The 27183-nt window shown below is 36.4% G+C and overlaps 2 protein-coding genes and 1 pseudogene across 11 annotated transcripts in view, besides 2 other annotated features; all 3 read left to right on the top strand.

Moving 5' to 3' along the window:
* The window catches only part of CCDC112 (coiled-coil domain containing 112), a 29465-nt gene extending 11099 nt beyond the window's left edge, over positions 1-18366 (top strand). For 2 of the 7 annotated variants that reach the window (NM_001040440.3, NM_152549.3), the window contains exons 2-10: positions 648-769; positions 5788-5909; positions 8502-8591; positions 9487-9562; positions 9950-10340; positions 13930-14343; positions 15758-15853; positions 16556-16674; positions 17638-18366. In NM_001040440.3, the coding sequence (NP_001035530.1) occupies positions 648-769; positions 5788-5909; positions 8502-8591; positions 9487-9562; positions 9950-10340; positions 13930-14343; positions 15758-15853; positions 16556-16674; positions 17638-17680 (1473 nt within the window). In that variant the 3' untranslated portion in view covers positions 17681-18366. Of the gene's footprint in view, positions 1-647; positions 770-5787; positions 5910-8501; positions 8592-9486; positions 9563-9949; positions 10341-10428; positions 11821-13929; positions 14344-15757; positions 15854-16555; positions 16675-17637 lie in introns of those variants that run through there. The other 5 variants (NM_001375899.1, NM_001375898.1, NM_001375896.1 and 2 more) reach the window with 5 other exon arrangements.
* On the top strand, positions 20325-20942 carry RPS2P26 (ribosomal protein S2 pseudogene 26; annotated as a pseudogene).
* Positions 22561-22610: an enhancer, noted in NCBI's record as "active region_22927". NCBI's record gives its function as "activates an Ori minimal core promoter by ATAC-STARR-seq in GM12878 lymphoblastoid cells {active_cell/tissue: GM12878}" and the evidence as "EXISTENCE:reporter gene assay evidence [ECO:0000049][PMID:35858748]".
* Positions 22641-22820: an enhancer, noted in NCBI's record as "active region_22926". NCBI's record gives its function as "activates an Ori minimal core promoter by ATAC-STARR-seq in GM12878 lymphoblastoid cells {active_cell/tissue: GM12878}" and the evidence as "EXISTENCE:reporter gene assay evidence [ECO:0000049][PMID:35858748]".
* PGGT1B (protein geranylgeranyltransferase type I subunit beta) overlaps positions 22679-27183 on the top strand; it is a 58866-nt gene continuing 54361 nt past the window's right edge. For all 4 annotated transcript variants that reach the window (XM_011543490.3, XM_005272020.4, NM_005023.4 and 1 more), the window contains exon 1: positions 22679-22844. In XM_011543490.3, coding sequence (XP_011541792.1) covers positions 22705-22844 — 140 coding nt within the window. In that variant the 5' untranslated portion in view covers positions 22679-22704. The remainder of the gene's footprint in view (positions 22845-27183) is intronic.

Raw genomic sequence — 27183 nt, 5'->3', positions numbered from 1 at the left:
TGCTTGAACTCAGCAAAGTCTTTCATGCTCTAGGGCTTTTGCACATGTGGATCCCTTTGCTTAGAACACACTTTCCTACTGCTCCTGTCATGGCTGGCTTCAATCTTCCTTAAAGTCATCCCTTCAAATAGACCTTCTGTGACCACTGTAACTGAAACCCTTTCTCCGCTTTCTCCATCTGAGCCCTAATATTTATTTTCTTAATAGCATTTATTGCAGCTGGTGGAGTTTTCATTTTATTGCTTGTTTACTCTTATCTCTTTAAATCTGTTTTTCCTCACTAGACCTTCAGACAGGGACCATATTATTATAGATCATCATTGTTTTCCTAGTGTCTAATGTAGCCCGTGTCACTTCATAGTGTTCAATACATATTTGTTAAATGACCGACTGAATGAATTAGATCATTTTGCAAATAATCCCTGGATATTTAACATTTCTTACTCAGTTTAGCATTTTAAGATAGATATTCCTTCATTTGATAGATACTCCTTCTTCCACAAATGTACTTTTAAGAGTTAAGTGAGATTGGCCCCAAAATTATCCTTCAAGAAACTCAACTATTGACATTTTATCTCTCTGAAAAAATTCCACATTTATGTCTTACTATTTTCATTACTGTTAAGTTTTTCTTGTTCTCAATGCAGAGTGATGGCTGTTTTAGTACTTCAGGTGGAATTCGTCCTTTTCATCTTCAGAACTGGAAGCAGAAAGTTAATCAGACTAAGAAAGCAGAATTTGTACGCACAGCAGAAAAATTTAAAAATCAGTAAGTATAAGAATATAATCTTCAAATAACATTACTAGCCATTTTATAATGGACAATAAAAAATTAATTCTACTCTACCCTACCTAGGCTCACATTAAGTTATAAAATTGTAATCACTAGCCTGTCAAATATAACAAGAGAAAGATGGGAGGTATGAAATAATAGGCTGTTCAATATAAAGTTAATTGTAAATAGAGTTATTTCAATTTTCTTTATTTTTACAATTTTGAATCTGTGTATTTCAAGGGAAAAAAAATAGCTGTTTCTTTAGATTTTATATAACGAATAACAGACTTAATCTATTTTCACTTTATAACTAAATGCCTGGTAAATGTTTTTGAGGAAGTGAATCGTTTTTGTGTTTTTTTATTATGTGTATATGAAAGTGTTTTATAATGTTTTATAAATGACGAACATCATATATTTAAATTGCTCTTCTTCCTGTTTTACAAATGAGGATGTTGAGGATCATAGAGGATAAACATCTTTCCATAGGTTACATGGTTAATAAATGGTGTTTGAGGGACTCTTAGGCTGGCTCCAGCCACTCTGAAAGCCATTGTTCTTCTTACTAACCAGTGATGTTCACCACCAAGCCTATTTGAATATGTGGGTGTGATCTCACTAAGGAAGACAGTGAATCAATTTAATGAAAAGTCTGTGCTCTTACTTTTTTTTTTTTGAGTGGCTTTTTAATTGATCTCAATTCCTTGGTTTCTGCTCCTTTCAGATCCATTTTGCCCATTATGACCAAGCTATTTGAGAAGCTTCCATTTATTTTAAATTTTCAATATATATGAACTTTTTCTTTAAACAACCATTGATATTTATTGAATGTTCAATGTTGTCAGCAGTACCAGCATATAAATATGAAGAATGTTAAAAAGAATTAGAACTCAAGGCACCCCACTCTACCCTACAGTTGAGAGCTTTATCAAAACGTTGCTTTGAACCTACATAGTATCAATTTGCCAAAGGACATGAGAAAAGGAGCCTATTATAAGGAATGGTCTCTGGGTCAGAATTGGTGGCAGGTCTATATTTAGAAATTCTACCAATGAAAAAGTGTACTGTTAGAATTTTGAAAAGCTATACCATATCGTAGCTTTTGGAGACTAAATTCTCCTTGCATTTACATAATACTTTTGTCTTTTCCCCCACTTTTATTGAGGTATAACTGACAAATAAAAATTATATATATTTAATGTCTACAGTGTGATGTATGGATGTACACAAACATTGCAGAATGATTACCACAATCAAGCTAATTAACATATCCATCACTTCACATAGTTACCTTGTGTGTGCGTGAAGGGTTGAGAATATTTAAGATCAACTTTCTTAGAAAAGTGAGCTGAGATTTTCATTATGTTAAGTGAAATAAGCCATACACAGAAAGACAGACAATGCATGATCTCATTTATATGTGGAATCTTAAAAAAGTCAAACTCAGAAACAGAGAATAGAATGGTGATTACCAGGAGTCTGGGGGTGATGAGGTGGGAGTGGGGATAATGGGGAGATGTTGGTCAAAGGGTACAAGTTATAAAATAGAAAAGATCTAGAGACCTAATGTACAGCATGGTGAGTATAGTTAATAATAACGTATTGTATGCTTGAAGTTGCTAATACATATATCTTTAGTATTCAGAATTTGAAAAAATACAGTTCTTTAAAATATCCAAAATGCATTACTCTAGATAGAATTAGATTCTAGGTTAGAGGTTCTGTTTTATGTTTCTTTCTAGATAGGGTAATGTCCACCAAATGGTTAATATCCATAGATGCAGCAACCAGTGTGTTTTACAGTTCTGAGAAGGCTTCTTCATCTGTTTTAGGGCATTGGAAAAACTCACTGAAAGAATATTAGAAAAACTCATTGTAAGAGTGTTTCTATCTAACAATTCACATAAACACAAACGAAAAACCACAATCTATAATATCTTTTTTTAAATTTTTAAAATAGGTAATATATTTACATGGTTCAAGAATCAAAACAAATCAAAGGGTACCCAGTGGAAAGTCTCAGTTTTACTCTTCATCCAAGCCACCCAGTTCCTTTCCACTCAGATAACCCACTAGTTTTGGTTTCTTATGTATCCTTCCCCAGATATTTTATGTGTTTATAAAGAAATATATATTCAGATTTTTCCTTTTTTGTATAAATGGTAGCATACCGTCCACATTGCTCTGCATTTTTTTTTAAAGTGTATGTCTTAGATAACAAGGAATTGTAGATTTTGCTAGGCACAATAATGGCATTATAGTTAGGTAAGTCAAATATCAGTACTCTCTAGAGGCACACACAAAAGTTTGTTGGGGTGAAATTGCATAATGTGATGGATTTACTTGAAAATACTTAAGCTAAGCTAAGCAAAGCAAAGGTAGATGTAATGGATCTACTTGAAAATACTTAAACTGAGCAAAGCAAAGATAGATGGATAGATGAAATGAGAGGTAAAACTGCTGAATCAGGGTGAGATAAAATTCATATCATATGATGGGTGTCAATTTACCATTCTGTACTTTTGAATATGTCTAACATTTTCCTACAAAAACTTTGTTTAAAAAAGAGGTTATCTTGGAGATCTTTTCCTGTCAGTACGTAGAACAGAGTACCACTGTATCATATTCCAGTGTATGAATGTAATATGATTTATTTAACCTGCCCATATTTATGGACATTTAGGTTATATTCAATCTTTTTTTAATAACAAACAGTGCTGCAATTAATTACCATACCCACATAGGTCAACATTATTTGTTTGTAAGTATATCTTCAGGATAAATTCCTAAAAGGAAATACTGGGTCAGAGATAAATGAATTTACAAATGTGATAAATATTGCTAAATTGCCCTCCGTAGACAACAGTTCCACCAACAATGTATGAGAAGACATGTTTTCCTCACAGTTTTGTCAACAAAATATATTAAATTTGTGATTTTTTTGCCAATATGATAGGTGTGCAGTGTTACTGTGATATAGTTTTAATTTGCATTTCTTCTATTGAGGAGGTTGTTTTCATTTTTGTCGACTTGTCTCCATTAATTAGCATATTTTGAATATCCTTATAGGTTAATATTTCTAATCCAGGAAAAACAGAAAGTAAGTTGAGTTTGTGATGAACTAAAAACTGTTGAGTGATATAAAGTTGTAGCATATCCTGTGTCCATGGCAGACGTTTCTTTTTATCATAGTAATTTTCCCCATCTGCAACCAGAGCCTAGATGAACTTCCCAGTCCTCAACACAGGACTCAGTCCATTAGAGTTGCCAGGTGGGACTGAAATCTATTTGATATCTTTATCTACCCATTATTTCTTCTCACAAACAATAGAAGCTACCTAAACACACATGCTAAGACATGATCCCCTCAGCCTCTGGAGAAGTGTGGTGGGCTCTGGGGCAGTCTCATCTGTCTACCCCCATGTGTCTTATGAATATTAAATTTTTCTCTATGGGCGGTCAGATGCGGTGGCTCATGCCTGTAATCCCAGCATTTTGGGAGGCCAAGGAGGGAAGATTACTTGAGGTCAGGAGTTTGAGACTAGCCTGGCCAACATGGCGAAATTCTGTCTCTATGAAAAATACAAAAATTAGCCAGTCATGGTGGCAGGCGCTTGTAGTCCCAGTTACTCGGGAGGCTGAGGCAGGGGAATTGCTTGAACCAGGGAGGCGGAGGTTACAGTGAGCTGAAATCGCACCACTGCACTCCAGCCTGGGTGACAGAGCGAGAGTCTGTCTCAAAAAAAAAAAAAAAATTCTCTATGTATGGCAAAGTGGAAAAGATTGGGAAACTCTACGGTATAGATAGTTGCCTCTCAGGTTGTGTGAATTAAGTAAATGGCCAGTGATGCTCCACCACTTATTAAATCCAAGATTAGTGGAGAAATATTCATATTAATTTCCACCTGGGAGAAAGAAACACATTAAGAAAATTAATTTTGGCTGGGCATGATGGCTCACGCACTTTGGGAGGCCGAGGTGGGCAGATCACTTGAGCTCAGGAGTTCAAGACCAGCCTGGGCAACATGGCAAAACCCTATATCTATCAAAAAAAAAAATTAGCTGGGCATGGTGGTTGTGTGCCCCTGTAGTCCCAGCTACTCAGGAGACTGAGGTTGGAGGATTGCTTGAGCCAGGGAGGTCAAGGCTGCAGTGAGCTGAGATGGCACCATGGCACTCCAGCCTGGGTGACAGAGCCAGACCCTGTCTCAAAAAAAAAAAGGTAATTTGAGAATTGATTTCTTTGCCCAATCAAAAAAGTTTCTCAGTAGTGTTTTATTTTATTTTTGTTTTCTCTTAGGGTGCAAACTAACAATGAGAACTCCTTACTGTTAGACTAAATTCAAGGGGCAAAGATGTGCTGAAAGAAGCCTGAAGTAAATGTAGACAATAGTCATTAAATACCCGAAATTTCCTGTCTTTGTAGATGGTTAGTCTCTCGAAGTTTTAGTTTTATTAATAATATTAATAACTGGCATTTCCATAGTATACTTGTACTGTACAGAGATCTCCCACATATATTATCTCATTTGATGTGAATAATAGCCCTATTAGATAGTGGAGAGCTGTTATTATTCACATTTTAGTGATGAGGAGGTTCATACCTGGAGAGGTTAACCATCTTGGCTAAGGTTACAAAATTAATAGTATCTACTATTGAAAGCAGTCATCAGCAGTGATGGCCATTTTCAGGCTCCAGTGAGATTGAGTTGGAATCAATAGTCAAAAGCTTATGCATTTTCAAAGCAAATGTATATCCACATTTTCTTAAATTATCATTTTATGATTTACATAGCAGTTCAAATTATAGTTGTGTTTGATTGAAATTAACTCTTCTAGCTATTATTTTGACTAATGTTTTGATTCCTTAGCCTTATTAACCAAAGTAATTATTTTTATTCCATAGATGAATTAATCCAAATATAAAATACGGATTATTGAGTGTCTTCATATTTTAAACTATTAAAAATATATTTAGATCATATTTATACTATTTGTTTCTTTTCCTAAAGAGTAATTAACATGGAAAAAGATAAACACAGTCATTTCTACAACCAAAAAAGTGACTTCAGAATTGAGCATAGTATGCTAGAAGAATTGGAAAATAAATTGATTCACAGCAGGAAAACAGAAAGTAAGTTGAGTTTGTGATGAACTAAAAACTGTTGAGCGATATAAAGTTGTAGTTTTACCCTGTGCTTTGTCTTTGTGCATTGACTGTATTGTGTTCTCTATCAATAGAGTCAGTTCTCTATTGACTGTGTTATATTCTCTGTATTTTAGTTGGTAAAATTTGTCTTTTAGGGACATGTTTATTCTTTCGGGTCACTATTTAGTCATACTAACTGGATTGTTTTCTGTTGTATATTTTTTCCAATATAACAAGAAAGAGAGGATTTGGGGGATTTTTTTGGTTGACACACCACCAAATTCTATTAAAATTTCTTAAAAGCAGAGTGATTTCTGGGCTGTCTGATGTTAGCTCATTACCCTGGCATTGTTGACTGAGCCCTGGACTCAGTAAGCATCAACAGATTCAAAGCTATAATTAGCAGTTGTGTGAAGTGATCAAGTCAGATAATTGCATAAACCTGAGTTTCCTTGTCTACATTCTAAAACTTGTCATTTCTACCTCAGGAGAGCCGTACTATGCATCTGATGAGATAATATATAAAAATGTACCTTATAGATAGATTGTACATGACTATGTTCTTTTGTTTGTTATGAATATTAATCATTGTCAATAGTGTACTGAATGTTACCCTTAAAGAATTTGAGAATATTTGTTTCATTGTAGCGTTAGATTCTGTATGTTGTAAAATCTTTATAATAAAAAAGCTGCTTAGCATTTCTTAAAGGAAAAATAATGGTTATCAAATAACTAAGCTTTATAAAATATTAAGACTTACTATGTAGAGATGAGACTGCTCATGATACTCCCTTGTCATCAATTAAAGTAAATTCTTAGTGATTTTTTTCTTTCAAAATACAAGGTTGCACTATTTTTTAAAAGAAAAGATTACACTACTTTAAAAAGTGATTCTTTGTCAAGCAGTGGCAGGAATCATTTTCCTTCTTTGATACATTGAAAAACCGAGACACCCCTGATTCAATATTTCTTTATTTCCCTCAGTTCTTTTGTAGACAACTGGGAGGCTGATTTTTCTATGTCTCAGTAATGCCAATAAGTAAAATTTTGTGCAAATTTTAGGTCACTTGATTTTCCCTTTATTATGGCAACTTTATTTGTACCAATCTATTTCACTTTGTTCTATAGTTTTGCTTATTTTTTTAAGTTATTTTTATAAGTTTTGCTCTTATAAAGTGTAGTGTTACTACACTTTATGTTTTTCCTGTCTAGGAGAGTAAAGAATGCTTGCCTTAGTGTAGAGAAGTTTTCCCTTCATATATTACAGCTGAGCAGTAGAAATACCTATTCCTTACCTCCAATAGCATACCTCAATTTTAGTCTGCATTTATGTCATATTGTACTTAAATGATTTGTCTATCTATCCAAATGAATAAATAAAATAAAAAGATTATCAGCCTTGTAGTGATATTTTGGTAGCTGATCAAACTAAGGCTAAAATGAAGCAACAAAAAACACTTTCCTAATTACTTTACTAGAGAGGTTTCATGACCTAAAGTTCAACAGTAAGACCCTACAAAGTAAATTACAAAAAGTTTCTGCCTTTATGGAATTCTTGAATTTTAATGAAAAACACAGAACAAGCCAAAGTTGTCATATACGTATTAAGAGGTTTATTTTGGATGTTCACACTGACTGCAAACCTATAGGTAAACTTTTTCTTAAAAAAATAATTACTTTTAAGGACTTTTGTACAGAGCCTTTGGTGCTTTGTGCTTATTTGTGGAAAAGTTGCAAAAACAAAAAAGAGGAGGGTGCATAAAATACCCCAAGATGATAAAATAATAGTATTACTATTATAAGAATGCGAATATTTTGACATTAGCCTAGTAATTTAAGTAAATATTAAAGTAAGATTATTCCTTCAGAAAAAAATATGAAAGAAGAATCCTTTATGCTGATAAAGACAATTTGAAAGAATCGTTGAGACTCTCATTTACTTTTCAGGCTTTATTGTGGGCCTAATATTTTACTCCAGGCTGGTCCTTTGATTGAGCTTGGCGACCTGTGGCATAGTATACCACTGAATGATACCTGAGGCACCTCCTCAGGGCCGTGCCAGTGATAACAATGAGTATCACCTGCCCCTTTCCTAGAAGATTTGGTTGGATGAAATTAATTCTCAATGGGAAGTTTCTCAGTATTCACAGAATTAACTAAATAGTTTTAATATTCCCACAATAGAGTTAAGACCAAATTCTATTTCCATAAGTTATAACAAATTAAAAAGAAATGAAACACTATTAAAGAACAAAAACTATGCTGAAACTGCTAATATTTACATGTAAAACAATGTCCAATAACTCAATCTACACAGAAGGGGAAAAAAAGACATTTCCTTAGCACGGGTTATAGTAAGACTTAACCCATTATGCTTTTAAATATTGAAAGATATTGAAGGATGCTTTATTTAGAACAAAGGTACTTAAAGTATTAATGTTTTGACATAAATATCTTTTGTTCTTTATTTAATTGCTCTTGGCTTTTACTAACAGTGATCAGTCTTACATGTAGATTCCTGAATTGTAACCACATTTGTCACAGAATTATTTTAAAGTGCATACTTCTTTCTTATAGGAGCAAAAATCCAGCAACAATTGGCCAAAATACATAATAATGTAAAGAAACTTCAGCATCAATTAAAAGATGTGAAGCCTACACCTGATTGTAAGTAAATTTAGATATTATAATCTTTCTTATGTGTTAGTATTTTCTGTTTGGCATTAATGGAGCTAAACTCTACTTTATTGGTTAGGACTTAAGTTTATTAATGGAGCTAAACTCTACTTTATTGGTTAGGACTTAATAAGTTTATTAATGGAGCTAAACTCTATCAGTTAGGATTTAGTAAGTTTACACCGGAGAACTATAATCGGGCATTTCTGTGTGTATCCGTTAAAGTATTATCAAATCCTTAGAAATTATAAGGTAGGCAGAACACATACTAGTGACATTTACAGGATTGGGAATCTATGTTATAGAAAGGTTTAAAAAAACAGCTAATTAAGGGGAAAAAAGATTGATTTCCTTAATCCTGTCCCAGTGTTTTCCCTTCATTTGCTTTTTGAAATAATTGTCTTTGAGAGGCATTTCTAATACATAAGGAAAGGTTAAACTGATTTAGGACAAATGCTAGTTTTTGGAAAAAAATCCCACAAATTATATCCCTACCTCCTTGCTTACTGTAATATTCATTCCTGAGAATCAAAGCAACAAATTAAAGGTCTCAGGGTGTATGGACTTAGGAATCAGACAGGTGTTGGGTCAAACCTTTGATCTTTCACTTGTTGGCTATGTAATTTTAGGCAAGTTACTTGATATATCTGAGCTTTCATTTCCTCAGCTCTAAAATGGAGATAATTATGATATGAGTATATAGGGAAAATGTCTGTAATCAGAAAAAATAGCAATCATAAAAATTCACTTTTGAGCACAACTTTCTTATGCCTTAGGCTAAGAAATATTTTAAAATTAGGAGAACATTCCACTTTTTCTTCCTAATATTTAACTTTTAGCCATATGGGAAAATGGCACAAAATAATTTTCCGTGTTTCTTTTACAGTTGTTGAGAAGCTCAGAGAAATGATGGAAGAAATTGAAAATGCAATTAACACTTTTAAAGAAGAGCAGAGGTTGATGTATGTTTTAAACTCATTTTAATATAAAATTATTGACCTTTATTTTTTAATAACTGGCCCCAGTACATTTTTGTATATAATGCATTCTGTTATTATGTATTTGAGTCTTATACAAAAGCAATATAATATCTTTTTTGTTTTCAGTTTTAGGTGGCTTTTCATATTTAAAGCGAAATTTTATTCATATTTAGTTACTATAAAATCCCAAATAAGAATTTGAAAGATTGTTTTTATCTCTGAGGAGACTCTTTTAAGGCTTAAATTTATAAATGTTAATAATGTTAAGTGGAGAAGATGATATAAAGAGTCAGGTATCTTAAATTTGATGGAAAATTAAGGGTTAATATGGATTGTCTTCTTATTCAAACTTTATTTTTAAAATTTTAGATATGAAGAGCTAATTAAAGAAGAGAAGACAACTAATAATGAGTTGAGTGCCATATCAAGAAAAATTGACACATGGGCTTTGGGTAATTCAGAAACAGAGAAAGCTTTCAGAGCAATCTCAAGCAAAGTTCCTGTAGACAAAGTAACACCAAGTACTCTTCCAGAAGAGGTACTAGATTTTGAAAAATTCCTTCAGCAAACAGGAGGGCGACAAGGTGCCTGGGATGATTATGATCACCAGAACTTTGTAAAGGTGAGAAACAAACATAAAGGGAAGCCAACATTTATGGAAGAAGTTCTAGAACACCTTCCTGGAAAAACACAAGATGAAGTTCAACAGCATGAAAAATGGTATCAAAAGTTTCTGGCTCTAGAAGAAAGAAAAAAAGAGGTAATAATTATAATAGCTATTATTCATTCTGTGTTTCTATGTTCTAGGCACTGTACTAAACACTTAACATGTCTCATTAACTTTACAGCAATCCCATGAAGTGTGTTTATAGTTCCCCGCCCCCGACAATCTAATAGAAGATGAAACTGAGGCATTGAAAGTTAAGTAATTTTAGCCAGGCACAGTGGCTTACACCTGTAATCCCAGCACTCTGGGAGGTTAAGGCGGATGGATCACTTGAGCTCAGGAGTTTGAGACCAGCCTGGGCAACATGGCAAAACCCTGTCTCTACAAAAAATACAGAAAAATTAGCTGGGCATGGTGCCACGCACCTGTGGTCCCAGCTACTTGGGAAGCTGAGGTGGGAGGATTGCTTGAGCCTAGAAGGTTGAGGCTACAGTGATCTGTGATTGCACCACTGCACTCTAGCCTGAGCGAGACCTAGTCTCAAGAAAAAATAAAAATAAAAAAAGGAAGTTAAGTAATTTTACCCAATTAATAGAACAACATTTGGACTTCCTCATAGCCAAACATGTCTCTGTCACAAATAACATAATGGGACAAAAAGCCTCTGATTATGGGTCCAGTCCTCCGTATCCACTTCTCAGAAATGTGAGCAATCCAGATCCACTGAGACTTTTGAAAAAAGTCATCTTACGAGCAAAGGCCACATTGTTTTGAATAGAAAAATCAAGAGGCAGTAGAAAAAATGCTTTGACTAGTAAACATTTCTTTGAGATTTTTAAACTTCAACCATATTGCTTATTTTAAAGACTCAAAATGTTAGCTACCCCAGAAAAAAAAATAACGCCTGATTGTGGCAGATACCTAAAAAGGTCCATTTTTACAAAAATATTACTCTGGCTTTGCATTAGATCAGGATTTCTTAACCTTGATACTATTGACATTTGGAGCTAGATAATTCTTTGTTGTGGGGGCCTGTTCTGTGCATTATAGGATGGCATCCCTGGTTTCCAGCGGGTAGATGCTTATAATGTCTCCTTAATTATGATTATCAAAAATGCCTCTAGCCAGTTGTCCACTGGAGGGGAAAAATAGCCCCTAGTTGAGAACCACAGTAAGTCAGAGTCTTTTTTTTCTTTTGTAGAGTTCAGTGATGACGAAGTTTGACTTACCTGGTTTAACAAAAAGGTTGTGTTTATTCCATAGATGGTATACCCAAGGAATATTAAAGAAATAATTGAGTCCATGTTTAGTCTAAAGTTTTAGAGGGAATAGCTGCATTTTTGTTGTTCTTGTCATTCTCCTCCCTCCCCCCAGCAATAAATTGAATGTAGGGAAATTGACTTCTCGGGTTTTAAGAAAAATGTTTGAAACATAAGTCATTTGGGCTTTTTTCCCCAGAATGCTGAAAACATGGGATTCTCAAAGTGGTCCCTAGACCAGCAAAATCAGCATCACCTGGGACCTTATTAGAACTTAGCGGGCTCCAACTCCAGACCTAATTAGCACTGTGAGGGTAAGGCCCAACAATCTGTGCTTTACCAAGTCCTCTAGTTTATTCTGCTAATGAAAACCACCTCTTTAGGAAAAAGAAACAGACACACTGCTTCTTGTGATAAAAGTAAACCATTCAGATTCTAGCTTATTTTCCTTGTTCCCATCTGCTCTATTTCCTGATATTTGATGACTGATATATCATCAGTTTGATACGATATGAGCAGGACATAGGGGTGAGATAGAAGGGTTTGTGAAAGTGGAGGTGCCATTTACTGAAGTAGGGCATGTTGGAGGAGGAAAGGGAAGTTTGGAGGAAAATATCAGGAGTTCAGTTTTAAATCTACGGAGTTTTAAGATGTTGAGTAGTAAATTTACCATTTTTATCTCCCACTTCCTTTAATATGTCTTGTGTTTTTAATAAGTGAAGATATTATTCTGACATTTTCAGACATGCTCTGAACTTTCTGGCCTGAATGCCTTTGCTTATCTTGTTCTCACTTTCTGGAACCTCCATTCTTTCTTTCCCCCTCCAATCCCAGCTTATCAAAATTGGCCCAGATCAGATGTTGCCTCCTCCTTGCCCACCCAAACATAAGTAGCTTCCCTCAGGATTTCACTGACACTTAACACCTTTTATATGATGTGTTGTGGTATGCCCATGTTGAATTTCACCTAGAACAGTGCTGCTCAGACTTGGTCCATGGACTAAATATGGGTTTGCAAACTGTTACTGGTTTACAGTGGGATAAAATAGTTGCACCAGAATTAACTATGCAGTGAGCACTGTTTAGTTCAATTGACTTTTTTTTTTCCATAGAAAATTTTCACATTGAAAGAAGCAGTGCATTGATTTGCGTTTTAACACAAATTCCCAATATTTTTGCAGACTGGTATTTTGAGTAGCACTGTACTAGGTGGCATTTGGTATAGTTTTAATATTGTTTCATTGTTCCTATCACATTGCCTTGTTTATAGTATATATACATACCATAAAGATTTATTGAGTGGAATGAATGATACACCATAAAGAAAGATGAGGAAATAGTTTCTTGACTTGGAGGGAAGGTAATTCAGTGAATATGCCCTAAATGGCATGGAGAAGCCTGCTAGAATTTGAAATAATTTTTACATACCCATATGTAAAGACAGCTCTGTAGCTATTGAGCTGTTTTATTTATTTATTTATACATACTTCGGAAGCACTATGTGCCAGACGCTAACTCATTTAATCTTCATAACAACACTGTGCAAGAAATCCTACCTACCATTTTATAGATGAGCAAAATGAGGACAGAGAAGTTTAGTGGCTCATCCAATGCCACACCTAGTAAATGGCACTGCCAGGATTTGGTCCCAAATAGTCTGACTTCAGTGCTCATGTTCTTAACCACCCTACTCTTAATTCTTCTTCTGATATTTGACCAGATAAAGATCACTCAGAAAGTATTCTAAGCCTAGAAAGAGAATTTGGAAGCAGAAATGAGATGATCAGAGGAAAGGGATGTTGCCCATGAAAATAAAAGGAGCAGATAGGCCTGGCACGGTGGCTCACACCTGTAATCTCAGCACTTTGGGAGGCCAAGGTGGGTGGATCACCTGAGGTCAGGAGTTCAAGACCAGCCTGGCCAACATGATGAAACCCTATACTAAAAATACAAAAAAATTAGCCAGACATGGTGGCTGGTGCCTATAATCCCAGCTTTTTGGGAGGCTGAGGCGGGAGAATCACTTGAACCTGGGAGGCAGAGGTTGCAGTGAGCTGAGATCGTGCCACTGCACTCCAGCCTGGGCAACAAAAGCGAAACTCCGTCTCAAAAAAAAAAAAAAAAAAAGAAGCAGTAAAGAGGAGAAGGATCATTCATGAGTTGTAGTCCTTTTGAACTTGATTAAGAGAGAAAGAGGAAGGCCAAAAGGATGACCCATTATTCAGAGTTTTAAGAGACAGCAATTTTTAAAAAACAGAAGTAGAAAAAAATTGCAATGGTTAAAACAAAGCTGAAAAACCTAAGCATCCAGCATTCTGCAATCAATATTCTTTCTAGAAAGATGGAATTGATGTATTTTAAAATACTTTTGGCTATTAAAAAACTTTTTTCTCTTGCTTTCTTTTTTTAAAAAAATCATTTAGTCAATTCAGATTTGGAAAACTAAAAAGCAGCAAAAAAGGGAGGAAATTTTCAAGTTAAAGGAAAAGGCAGACAACACACCTGTGCTTTTTCATAATAAACAAGAGGATAATCAAAAGCAAAAAGAGGAACAAAGAAAGAAACAGAAATTGGCAGTTGAAGCTTGGAAGAAACAGAAAAGTATAGAAATGTCAATGAAATGTGCTTCCCAGTTAAAAGAAGAAGAAGAGAAAGAGAAAAAACATCAGAAAGAACGCCAGCGCCAGTTTAAGTTAAAATTACTACTAGAAAGTTATACCCAGCAGAAGAAAGAACAGGAAGAATTTTTGAGGCTTGAAAAGGAGATAAGGGAAAAGGCAGAAAAGGCAGAAAAAAGGAAAAATGCTGCTGATGAAATTTCCAGATTTCAAGAAAGAGTGAGTAAATCTATTTCCTAAATAATTTTTAAATGCTACACATGGAGGTATTACTTCCAAATTCAGTTAAGCAAAAATTGAGTATTTGTATATTGGACCTGTGTATAGCATTAGTATACCAAAATGAGTAAGCCGTGCTCCCTAACTTCTAGTAGGTTATAGTCTAGTGGGAAAGATATGTGGAAGTAGGAGATTGCAGTATAATGTGTTAAAGAGTGTGGTGATTGAGGTATGGACATAGTACTTAGGAGGGAGTACAGGGAGGGACGCTACCACAGCTATGAGTGGCAGAGAGAAGGTAATACTTAGGTTGAGTCTTGAAGAAGGGAAGGAAAAATGAGGTCCTTCCTAGCAGAGACAACAGCATGAATAGCAGCTTGAAAGAGTGTAACAGTATGGTTTGTGATGGAGACTATTAACACTTCAGTATTCTTAGGGCATTAAGCAGGAGAGGGGAACCAACAGATGATGAGACTAGAAAGGTAGCCATAGGCAAGACTGAATGATTTGTCTTCTCTGCCAAACTGGCTGGCTTTACCATATTGATGACTTGCCTATTTGTTCATTTCCCCACCATAATGTAGGCTCCATGAGGGCATTAGTGGTGTGTTTGCATTAGTGGTGTGTTTTTTTGAACATCCTTGTACCCTAGAGTTAAGTGCATTGTAGAAACTTATCTTCTTAAAGGAATCGAGATTATTGCTGGGTGGTCAAATTAAAGGTGATTTTAAACAAACATATATAAGAAAAATGCTAATAAAGACATACTGGCAGAATTCATTCCAAAAAGTATTAAGACAAGGAAGGGGACTTTAAAATGAAAAAGGGTGCAAATGAGATATAATTTATGAATTGTTATGTGCATCAAAATATATAGCAGCAATGTTTGTAAAGCAAAAAACTAAGGGAGGTACAAAGAAAAATAACGGACAAAAACACAGACAAAGCACATTAATACTGAAAATTTTAGTTCATTTCTTTTAGTTCATATATAAAAATCTTCCTAAGTAACAAAAGTTCCCATTCCTCCTCATACACCCCAAAAATAAGCAGGACACATAATAAAAGAAAAAAATAAAACCCACAAAACAGAAAATATAAAATAATGAGAGATCTGAAATCAGACATACCTGCATTGATGAATGAAAATGGGATTAACTCACCTATTAAAAGGGAGTTTTAGGTTGAACCTTAAAGGAAAACAAGAGATGCCTAAAATAAAATAATACAGAAGGGATGTGCATGTGTTAACATTTATATTCAGAGAAAATAAAGCTCTTAGGCTTTGTTGGAAAGAATTAATATTGAAGGAATATTGATAGGTAAGGTAATTTAATTTTACTTGTGAACAACTAAATTTTGAACAAATTCTAGTTCACATGCTTTCTTAATGCTATGGGTTTTTTTTTTTAAGGATTTACATAAACTTGAACTGAAAATTCTAGATAGACAGGCAAAGGAAGATGAAAAGTCACAAAAACAAAGAAGACTGGCAAAATTAAAAGAAAAGGTACTCTGCACCGAGATTATTTTCATTGTTATTATCCTAATTCCTTGATTTGTAAGGATACTGACATCAAATCTATTTCCTTTATATCTCACCTTATTTCTATAACATCTACTTTAAATTTCATACTTATTTACATATTAGCAAGCATAACTTGGTACAATTTAAGCAACCATTATTTGAATTCTGTCATTTTACCTTATGAGCACCGTTTTCTTTCACTCTGAATTATTGTTCCCCCTACTTGTCATTTAAAAATTTGTTTCTATATGAACCTTTATTTTAGATCAATGGCAGCTATGAGCATTGCTTAATCTCTCTTGCAGTACTCAGAGCTAAAGATATTGGTGACCCTCATGGATAAAACGGAAGACTTATTGGTAGTTACTTATCCTAAATTTGTTGTCTGGCTATATCACTAGCATACTTAGCTGCATTACATTTCTCTCATAATAGAAATAGAAAAATAGGAATAGAATAAAATAATAGAACTAAAAGAAATAAACTAACAGTTTATGAATAGATTGATGTAGTCTAAATTTTCTTTTAGCTATATGAGCCCAATGAGAAGTTTACTGAGGTTATTAATGGTTTTATTAGCCAATATCAACTATGTCTTTTAAAACTGCACTAAGGCTTTTACTTATTTACTAGTACAAACTGAGTTTGTATAATTAACTGGTACTATTTTACTTCTGATTACAGGTTGAAAACAATGTTAGTAGAGATCCCTCTAGGCTTTACAAACCCACCAAAGGTTGGGAAGAACGAACCAAAAAGATAGGACCAACAGGCTCTGGGCCACTTCTACATATCCCACATAGGTAAGAAAGAGTTAGAATTGGTGTTCATTTAGTAATTTAATTGCTGCATGTTTATATTTTATGCACTTACTATATGTAAATTATATTTTTCATATATATATGAAAATATAATATGTAAGTGTGTATAATATATAAATGTTTTTTACCTAAATCTTTTTTATATAAATATATAACATATTTATATAATATATAAGGATATATAATATCTATAAATATACATATTTTTTCATATATATATGAAAAATATATATATATATTTGCCTTTCAGGTCACTTTTATTTAAAAATAAACAGTAGATAAAAGTAAAAGTAGGTCGGGTGCAGTGGCTTACGCCTGTAATCCCAGCACTTTGGGAGGCCAAGGAGGACGGATCACGAAGTCAGGAGTTTGAGACCAGCCTCGCCAACATAGTGAAACCCCATCTCTACTAAAAATACAAAAAAAATTAGCCAGGCATGGTGGTGTGCACCTGTAGTCCCAGGTACTTGGGAGGCTGAGGCAGGTAGAATCACTTGAACTTGGGAGGCAGAGGTTATGGTGAGCCGAGATCGTGCCACCTGGGTAACAGTGAGACTCCGTCTCAAAAAAATAAATAAATAAATAAAGTAAAAGTAGTACCTGATGCCCTATTAGATATTACATTCATGTTAGTAGATGCCATTTTCTGCCTTTTTCACATTAATATTTATTTTTATAAGGAGAGTAGTATTGAAAAAGAATGAATGAAAGATCGATAGATTAATAAGTAGATTAACTGATTGGTTTGTCTGTCAATCAGTTTGAGAGCTAGAGCTAGAAATAAAACCTTAATGAGGGTTGCAAACCTACATGCCCATATGAACCAGCCAAACAACATGCAGGGTAGGTTATATATATATTTTAAAGTTAGCACTTAATCAGATAGGGTTTTTTTCTTTTTAATTTCCTACATATTTACAATTGCTTTTCTCTTTTTCTCCTTAGGGCTATTCCAACCTGGAGACAAGGAATACAGAGAAGAGTATGAGATAATCAAATTGCTACTCAGTTGATAAGAATGTTAACATACTAAGTTATACCAGGGAGAGAGTGACTAACCACATTCTTTAAATATCAATAGCTTAGTCAGATTGATTATTGTGCTATATTGTGAATTGAGAGGTATTAAGTTTCATGAGGCTTTGTCATTAGTATTCCTGCTTCTACCAAGAAGGTATTTAATATATGTGTTGGCCTATTATTGATGTAAAAGTTATTTAAATAAGTTAATGTTAGAAACATTATTCAATTTAAATACTGAAAACATTTCAAAGAGATTTTGTTTTTGTTATAGCATAGCAAAGTAAATTGGAACAATCATACAATGACATTTTTTAAACCAAAATTTTGTAACTTTTATAACTTGGAGTTAAGTTAGCTTGAGTAACAAAAAGGTAAAGTGGTTTTTGTTTAGAGTTACGAAATGTTAGTACTTTTTCTATGTTTAACAAATTGGCAGTTTGTCAGTTATGACATTTTTGTGTAATAAATATTTTGTATTTGTTTGAAGCATGCTTTGTTTTATATAGAGAATATTTATTTTAAAAATATGTCTCTCATATACCCTATTAATTGTATTATTGATATAATCTTTTTGGTTTCCTTCAGCAATTCCAAATTTTCCTTCAGCCTTTCTGGATTTCACAGATTTATAAAATCTTTGTGTCTTTCACATCTTCCTGGCTAATGCAGTTTTCTTTTCTGCTTCTGTTTGCCTCAAAATAGGAAAATTCTTTGTTCTGAAACATCATCTGAAATAAGCCAGCTTTAAAATACTGTGATTTCTCTTGATGGCACTTAAAATGTTTTAGGTGGGGCATGGTGGCTCATGCTTGTAATCCCAGCACTTTCAGAGGTCAAGGTAGGAGAATTGAGGCCTGGAGTTTGACACTAGCCTGGGCAACACAGGGAGACCCTGTCTCTACAGAAAAAAAAAAAAAAAGTTTAATTAACTGGGTATGGTGGCACACACCTGTAGTCCCAGCTACTTGGGAGGATAAGGTGGGAGGATCACTTGAACCCAGGAGTTCCAGGTTGCAGTGAGCTACGATGGCACCACTCTACTCCAGCCTGGGTGAGAGAGAGACCCTGTCTCTAAAATGAATGAATGAAGGAATGAATGAATAAGATCTTTTAAAGCTGTTAGATTAACATATTTGGGCAAGAGTTAGTTCTTAAATTTCTAAACTTTTAGACATGAAAACACAATGTAATTGAATACAGTTCAACTTTTCATATTATAAAATATTCCTTTCTAACGTTATTTAATTTGTTCTCATAGGAAAGATACTATATACATAAAAACACAGGAAATTTATCTCTTATAAATCTTTTTTTATCTTAATCTTTCATTGTTTATCTTTATCTTTCATTGTTAATGGGATGCATTTAGGTTAAATGACTCAGTTAGAAAGGTACTATGAGTAGCGGTGAAAATCTTTTCTTATTTTACAGTTAATATTCAAAATAGATGGCTTCCAAATTTTAGAAACTGAATTCTGATTTGTACAGTTATTGGTGCAGAATGAGAAAATTGACATAAAAGATCCTTAAACAGGAGTGCTGATTTTGTTATCCAAAACTTTTTTGTAATGATTTGAAGTAGTTCAGAGATAAAATATAGAGGCTGGGTGCAGTGGCTCAGGCTTGTAATCCCAGCACTTTGGGAGGCCAAGGTGGGCGTATCACTTGAGGTCAGGAATTCAAGACCAGCCTGGCCAACATGGTAAAACCCCATCTCTACTAAAAATACAAAAATTAGCCTGGTGTGGTAGTTCACGCCTGTACTCCCAGCTACTTGGGAGGCTGAGGCAGGAGAATCGCTTGAACCCGGGAGGCGGAGGTTGCAGTGAGCTGAGATTGTGCCACTGTACTCCAGCCTGGGCAACAGAGTGAGACTCCATCTCAAAAAATAAATACATAAATAAAACACAGAGCAAGATGAGGAAATTAAAAGCAGAACTGAGAAGCTACAAGATACAGAAAATGTTTCTTACATATTGCTTTTTTACGTGTTGCTTTTTGTTGCACCGAAATGCAGCTTTCAAATTCCTGTATCCAAGGTAAGCATTCTGGATGATGTGATTCTTATGGCTTTGTTTTTTTATTTTTTTTTTAAATAAAGAAAAGTATGGAAGTTCCTCTGAAGAAATCAGTTTTTCTAGCTGAATCTGAAATAAATGATGAATTTATTATATAGATCCTTTATATAAAAGATGTAAGATAAACAAATATCTTCAGTTACAGACTTCATAGAAGTTACAGGTTCATAAACAAGATGTCAAATAAATATTTCTTATACTGGTTTAAAAAGTACATTAGCTTTTTCTCTGAGAAAACACCAAATCGCGGATGATGCCGGTGCAGCGGGGGACCTGGGAGGCCCGGAGGCCCGGGGGGCTCTGGGATGGGGAACTGGGGTCTCAGCCGGCCCTGGGATGGGGAACTCGTGTCGCGGCCATGGACGGGGCCGGGGCCAGCTGCAGAGCTCGTGGAGGCAAGACCAAGGACAAGGAGTAGATGGTTGTCACCAAGCTGGGCTGCCTGGTCAAGGACATGAAGATTAAGTCCCTGGAGTAGATCTATCTCTTCTCTCTGCCCATCAAGGAGTCTGTGATCATTGACTTTTTCCTGGGGCCTCTCTCAAGAAGGAGGTTTTGAAGACGTGCCAGTGCAGAAGCAGACCTGCACCGGCCAGAACACCAGGTTCAAGGCGTTTGTTGCCATCAGGGACAGTGGCCACACTGATCTGGGTGTTAAGTGCTCCAAGGAGGTGGCCACTGCCATCTGCGGGGCCATCATCCTGGCCAAGCTCTCCGTTGTGCCCATGCGCAGAGGCTACTGGGGGAACAAGATCGGCAAGCCCCACACCATCCCTTGCAAGGTGACAGGCTGCCACGGCTCTGTGCTGGCGCGGGTCATCCCTGCGCCCAGGAGCACTGGCATCGTCTCGGCCCCCATGGCCAAGAAGCTGCTGCTGATGGCAGCTATCAATGACTGCTACACCTCAGCCAGGGGCTGCACTGCCATCCTGGGCAACTTCGTCATGGTCATTTTTTATGCCATCTCTAAGGTCTACAGCAGGCTGAACCCTGACCTCTGGAAGGAGACTGTATTCACCAAGTCTCCCTATCAGGAATTCACTGACCACCTCCTCAAGACCCACACCAGAGTCTCCGTGCAGAGGACCCAGGCTCCAGCGGTGGCTACAACATCGGGTTGTACAAGAAAAATAAAATGAAGTAAGCCTGGAAACAAAAAAACTACATTAATAAGAAACATAGAAAAAACACTAAAGAAGAAATGTTATAAAGTACCCATAATTCCAGGGTAACTTTTTCAAAAAACATACCTACATATTTTTAAATTGTTACAGTCATACAGTACATATTAATTACTATGCTATAATTGCATTACACATTTTCGTACATTTCTACCTAATTCAAACATTATCATGTAATGGCTAAATAACACTCAATTATATAGATGTTCTATCATTCCCATTCTGTTATGCACATGCCAAAAATCTTGTAGGGATAAAATCACTCATGGAAAGCCTTTTACCGACCTAGGAGGCATTCTGTATTATCTCTGAATGAGTCCCACATTGCAAATTTTTCCTCTAGATTTGGATCAGATTGCTAGTCCTTGAGCTGAGAATCAGATGAAACATTTGGCTTCCCTAACTTAAGGGCCATGTTTATTAGAATTAATTTTCTGAGAATGTATAGAGTGTCCATAGCTGATTCCAGTAAGTTAAATGTGTATAAGACTCCACTTTAAAAATCTTCAGGCATTTGGGGGTATGTGTGCTAAGTGAGAGATCTTAATTTTAATAACAGTGGAAACTCCAGACTGGGCACACCTGAAGGGCAAGGACTGTGAGCTCCGTATTTGTAGGGAAGTACCGAGGACAGCCTAGAATCCGTCTGTGGCTGTTAAATGCGGCATTTTGTAAAGACATGCAGGAATACCTGTGAATAAGTAGTTAATAGTACCAAAAATTATTCAGAGCACTTTGGATTGTTGAATAAGTGTAAGATTACCCCAGCCCATAGAGTATAAGAATTACATTTTCTAAGAAAGCTAACAAAATTAAACCCAAAATTTTATTAGCTAAGTTGATCACAGGGAACCTAGTTTAGTTATATTATTGGGTGGATCCCCCCACCCGCTACTCAGGAATGCCTCATGAAAGTTTAAAGGGCATAGTATACCGGCTAAACAACTTAAATCCCTATTTTTGGAAAAAAGAACTAGAAGCATGTTTAAATTTTTTAGAATGCAGGTAATTGGAGAAGATATTGAGCTTATTTTGCTGTTGCAGATTGATGCACCATTGATTCTTGATAACACGTCGACTCAAGCAAAGTAAAATCTGTAAGATTTGTAAAAGAATGACGCAAGCAGTCATATATAGGTATGAATATGCATGTTGTATATGTTTGGGGGCATTATACACAGATTTTTAAGTGATTCCTGGTATCCAGAAAGGATTAAGATTAGGAAAGTCTCTGAGCTTTTGTAGTGTCAATAAACATTTATCTCCACTGGTTTGTTTTTCTGTTTCCCTAACCGTTCGGCTTAAAACTGGCCCTCCAAAAATGAATCTGTTAGCAAGTTTATACTGATCCATCCTCGTTTTCAGATATACCATCCTCAGGTTCTACAGAGCCAGAATTGTCTCAAAGCGTACTTGATGCTTTTGACCTTGCGCTTCCCAAGATAAAAATTCTGACGGAGGGATTTGTGGACTTGATTTTCACAAGGCCTGCGAGGTGTTTACAAGCCTCGAGGGCTTTGAGTAGAAAAGGTAGGGTCATGCGCTAGCTAGGGAGATATCGGAGAGAGGAAGTGCTGCACAGGACCCAGATGATAGCGGTTTCAAATACTGGCTTAGTCTGCGGCGGGCGCAGGTCCCCTCACCCGGCACCCTGTGGTTCAGCACAGGAGGGTTCTTTCTCTCCGCGGGCACTGATTCCGGGTCGCGGCGGACGTCGCTTCCGGAGCAGCATGGCGGCCACTGAGGATGAGAGGCTAGCAGGGAGCGGTGAGGGAGAGCGGCTGGATTTCTTACGGGATCGGCACGTGCGATTTTTCCAGCGCTGCCTCCAGGTTTTGCCGGAGCGCTATTCTTCACTCGAGACAAGCAGGTAACTCGTGGCACAGTCAGCCAGGCTGGCACAAGGCCCGGGCTCCAGCGGAAAGGCGCGGCGGAGTCGGACCGCAAACTGGGCGCCGGAAGGGGGCTGCGCGGCCGCCCAGTTGGCACTGACTGGTTTCAAGTGGGCTTGAGGTTACCCCCACTCTCCCGCCGTACGGTGGGAAGGTCTGGAAGGCTGTAGGTCGAGGGCTGTGGCATCTCCAGTTTCCGGCTTTTTCACTTCCCTTTTCTTCTGGCAACTCTGAGCTGCTTTTTTACCCGCTCCCATAGCCTGTCACTTTGCCTCATTACTTCCGAGTGTAAAAGGAAAAGGACAAAGTTTGTCGTCGTATTTTTAGATGAATACTTCTGTGCATCCTTGTCCTCTCTAAAGTCATTAACTCTTAATAGAGTGTCTGTATGGTGTTTTATGTGTAGGAGCGGCAGAGAACCTCTAAGGTCTTAGAAACTTTGTGGGAACTATAAATCTAATGGTAGGCGAAAGAGGTGTGGTGTTGCGTGAAGCAGCCTGTTAAAAGTATCGCAATAGCTGAAGAGTGTGGTGCGGCAGAGACTAAGCGACTTCATTTACAGTAAAAGCTGGGGATGAGAAGAAAGAAAGGAGAAGGCAATCTTTGCTCCGCATTGCTGTGTTTTGAAGTGAAGCTCAAAAGCTGCTTGAGACTGGATGGGAGGAAAGAGCGGCTTGTTTTTGCTGTGTTCTTTCCCCACGTTTTCCAAATTCTGAGTTGCTGGTGTATTTTGAACACTGCATGACCGGATCAGTTTGGGGAGCTTTGCAGATTACTTCTGCACACTTGGTCAAGAACCACATTATGGTAGGTGCCAGAGTACAGCTGAACAAGACAAGCATTTGTATAGAGTTCTGTGCTATATGTTAGTGTAGTGTTCATAGGAGTATATAGACAGGCATGTACATAATCCAGATATCTTTAGAGAGGCCTTCCTTAAACACCCTTCCTAAAGGGACCACTTCCAATGACCACCTCACATTACGTATGTATTGGTTTATTTGTTTAATGTCTTTCTATTACACTGGATTATAAACTTCACAAAGGTAACATTTTCGTCTATCTTGTTTACCTCTATACTTAGGACTGGGCTGCCCTGTCCAATCTGGTAGCCACTAGCCACATTTGGCTATTTTGATTTGAATTAATTAAATCAAATTAAAAATTAAGTGATTCTTTTGGTAGTAGCCACCACATTTCAAGTACCCAGTTGCCATATTGGCCAGTGGCAATTGTTTCTATTTCAACATTTGCAACAGCTTAGTCCTTTTGGTCAACATTGCACTAGGACCTTAAATAGTACCTGGTATCTGAGAAGCACTAAGAAATATTTGTTGAATAATGTGAGCTGAGCCCTGAAGGATGAACAGATTCTCACAAAAGAAAGAGTGAAACGTTTATATTCCTTCCTCCTCTCATAGGTGTTGATCGATTAGCAGAGCCTATACCTTCACTGAAAGATTCAGATTTCCAAACCGAAAGGTTATGATTGTAGTGATATGAGATGTTTTAAAATGTTGATAAATTGTTTATATCTTAATAGGGATTAATTTTATGTGAATTCAAAGCTTTTAGATAAAAAGTCTTCCATCCTGTTTTTGTTATTGATACATAATGTGCATATTTATCGTATACATACACTGCTTAGATAGATGCAGTGTATAAGTCCTGTGAGCTGATTAAATTGTGATTGTTAAACAGTTGAACTTTGCTTGCAGCTATCACTATAAGTCTGTGATTTAATTTTCAAAATGCCAATGTGTTTGGCCTGTTTTATAAAATTCCAGCTTGGACAAATCCATATAGAATAATGCACATTGGCATTAAACTGTGTAATTCTGTTCACAGCATAAGTAAAACAGCACAAATTTTCTGACTTATTTAACTTTAGTATGAGCATAGGATCGACACCAGGTGTTATATAACACCTTGGTGCATTGGTTAAGCAATATTGTATCCTTTTTTGTCTAATGTTTGTCATATGAATAGAATTTTTACATCATTTTGGTTTTCTTATAGCCTAGTTAACCGCATTTAAGATAACTGCATATGTCAGTTTCTGTAGTGATTTTAAGTTTTTCTCTTTCCTAACTCACAGACTTTATTTTCTTTAGCACTAAGTTCTTTTGTGGTGCATGTGATTCATAACTGACTTTAAAATGCTTGTGAAGAAACTCCAACCTTTTCAGCAAAGGTGACCGGTCACAAAGTTTCTGCTGATCTTTAAGACAAAACAGTACATTGGGCAAGCCACAACTCTTACCTGGTATTGCAGTTAAATTCCACAGTCATTCATAGAGTGCCTCCCCATGTGTCTAGGTACAGGTATACAGTGTTAAACTAATGATTCAGGTGTTCCTCTGTTCGTTTCTTTTTACCAATAGGTATGAAAAAGCTTTGAGAAGGCTAATATTAGACTGGATATTTAGACACTTATTTTCAGATTCACCATTTTGGCAAAATTACTCTTATTTTCTTGTTTCTTTTAGCCTGACCAATAGGAATAATTTTTACTTTTCTAGTGACAATGACTTTATGAAAATAAAGAGTGTATTGTCTGCGGTTTCATCAGAGATTTTTCTTTTATATTGACTTCTTAAAATGATAGTTACTAGTTTATAATCCAAGTGAATATTAAATCTTGGGTTGGGAGCTTTATCAATTACCAGGTTTCTTTTATAAGTAGTTTAGGGAGTTTAGTGTGGTTATGAGTTATTCTTGCCATTTGTATTTGGGTAATAGGAATTAGAGTAGTCCTTTTTATTAAGGAACAAAGTAGTGACAATTTTCTGTTATTTTTACAGTCACCTCTTCTAGAAGAAGGGTTTAGGCAGTTAGCTTTTATTTCACAAAGCATTTACAATCTAGCTAGTCTTTGTATTCTCATGTCCCTCTATTTTCCCCTGTGTATCCTGTGTTGTAACCTCTCTCCTGCCTCCCATTCTGCAACTACTTTGTTCTTTCGTTTCCTCCCTTATCTTTTTTTTTTTTTTTTTTTTTTTTTGAGACAGTCTCACTCTGTCACCAGGCTGGAGTGCGGTGGCACCATCTCTCCTCACTGCAGCCTCCGCCTCCTGGGTTCAAGCGATTCTCCTGCCTCAGCCTCTCAAGTAGCTGGGACTACAGGTGTGTGCCACCACGCTCAGCTAATTTTTTGTATTTTTAGTAGAGATGCGGTTTCACCATGTTGGCCAGGATGGTCTTGGTCTCTTGGCCTTGTGATCCGCCCGCCTCGGCCTCCCAAAGTGCTGGGATTACAGGCGTGAGCCACCGTGCCCGGCCCCCTTATCTTAAATATATCACAGTCTAGCAGTACATCTTTCAAAGTGTAGTGGTGGGAGACTCTAAGTAATGGCTTGTATGTGCTTTCAAAAATGCACATACCTGGGCCCCTTCCCAGACCTTCATTGGATTCTGTGTGGGCCTTGGGAGTCTGCATTATAACACGCATCTCAGGTGGTTCTAAAGCAGGCTAAAGTTAGAGACTGTTTGCCTTATAGGAGAAACAAATATGCAGTTATTACAGCAGTGATTCCCAACTCTAATGTGTATGTGAATCACTTGGGGATCTTGTTAAAATGCAGATTCTGATTGCATAAGCCTGGGTCATTGTATTTTTAGATGAATACTCCTGTGCATCCCAGTCCTCTGTAAAGTTATTAACTCTTAATAGAGTGTCTGTATGGTGTTTTACGTGTAGGAGCAGCAGAGAACGTCTAAGGTCTTAGAAATTTACTTTATGGGAACTGTAAATCTAATGGTAGGCGAAAGAGCTGCGGTGTTGCATGAAGCAGCCTGTTAAAGTATATTGCAATAGCTGAGGAGTGTGATGCTGAGTGTGAGCCGGAGATGCTGCATTTCTGACAAGTGCCCAGATGATTTTGTTATGGCTAATCCCCTGACTAGACAAAATGATTGTGATATTCTGAGGGCATTCTGGAAGTACCTAAGTAGCTCAGCCTGAAGAGAGACAGGGACTAGAGAAGGCTTCTTGGAAGAAGTAATCCCAAAGCTAAATCTTAAAGAATGTGTTCCAGTGTTTTGTTGTTGTTGTTGTTGCAAATGGACAATAAGAAGAATAAAGCTGGAGAAGTGAGTGTTGAGCAGAAAACTTCAATTAGTTCTCTAGTAGTGGTTCAAAATGTAAAGGGATATGGTAGGAATGTAATCTGAAGAGGTAGGCATGCATCAGATCATGGAAAGCTTTGTGTGCTTGTCTAGAAACATGAGTTGGATATCATGTAAGTGACAGGAATAGTCATATATATAGTCATATATCACATGGTACAGGACCAGAACCAGGGAGACCAATGAGGA

This window comes from Homo sapiens, chromosome 5, assembly GCF_000001405.40.
Source record: "Homo sapiens chromosome 5, GRCh38.p14 Primary Assembly".
NCBI lineage: Eukaryota > Metazoa > Chordata > Mammalia > Primates > Hominidae > Homo > Homo sapiens.
The sequence above is the reverse complement of the archived record's forward strand: the minus strand, read 5'-3'. Positions and strand labels throughout refer to the sequence as shown.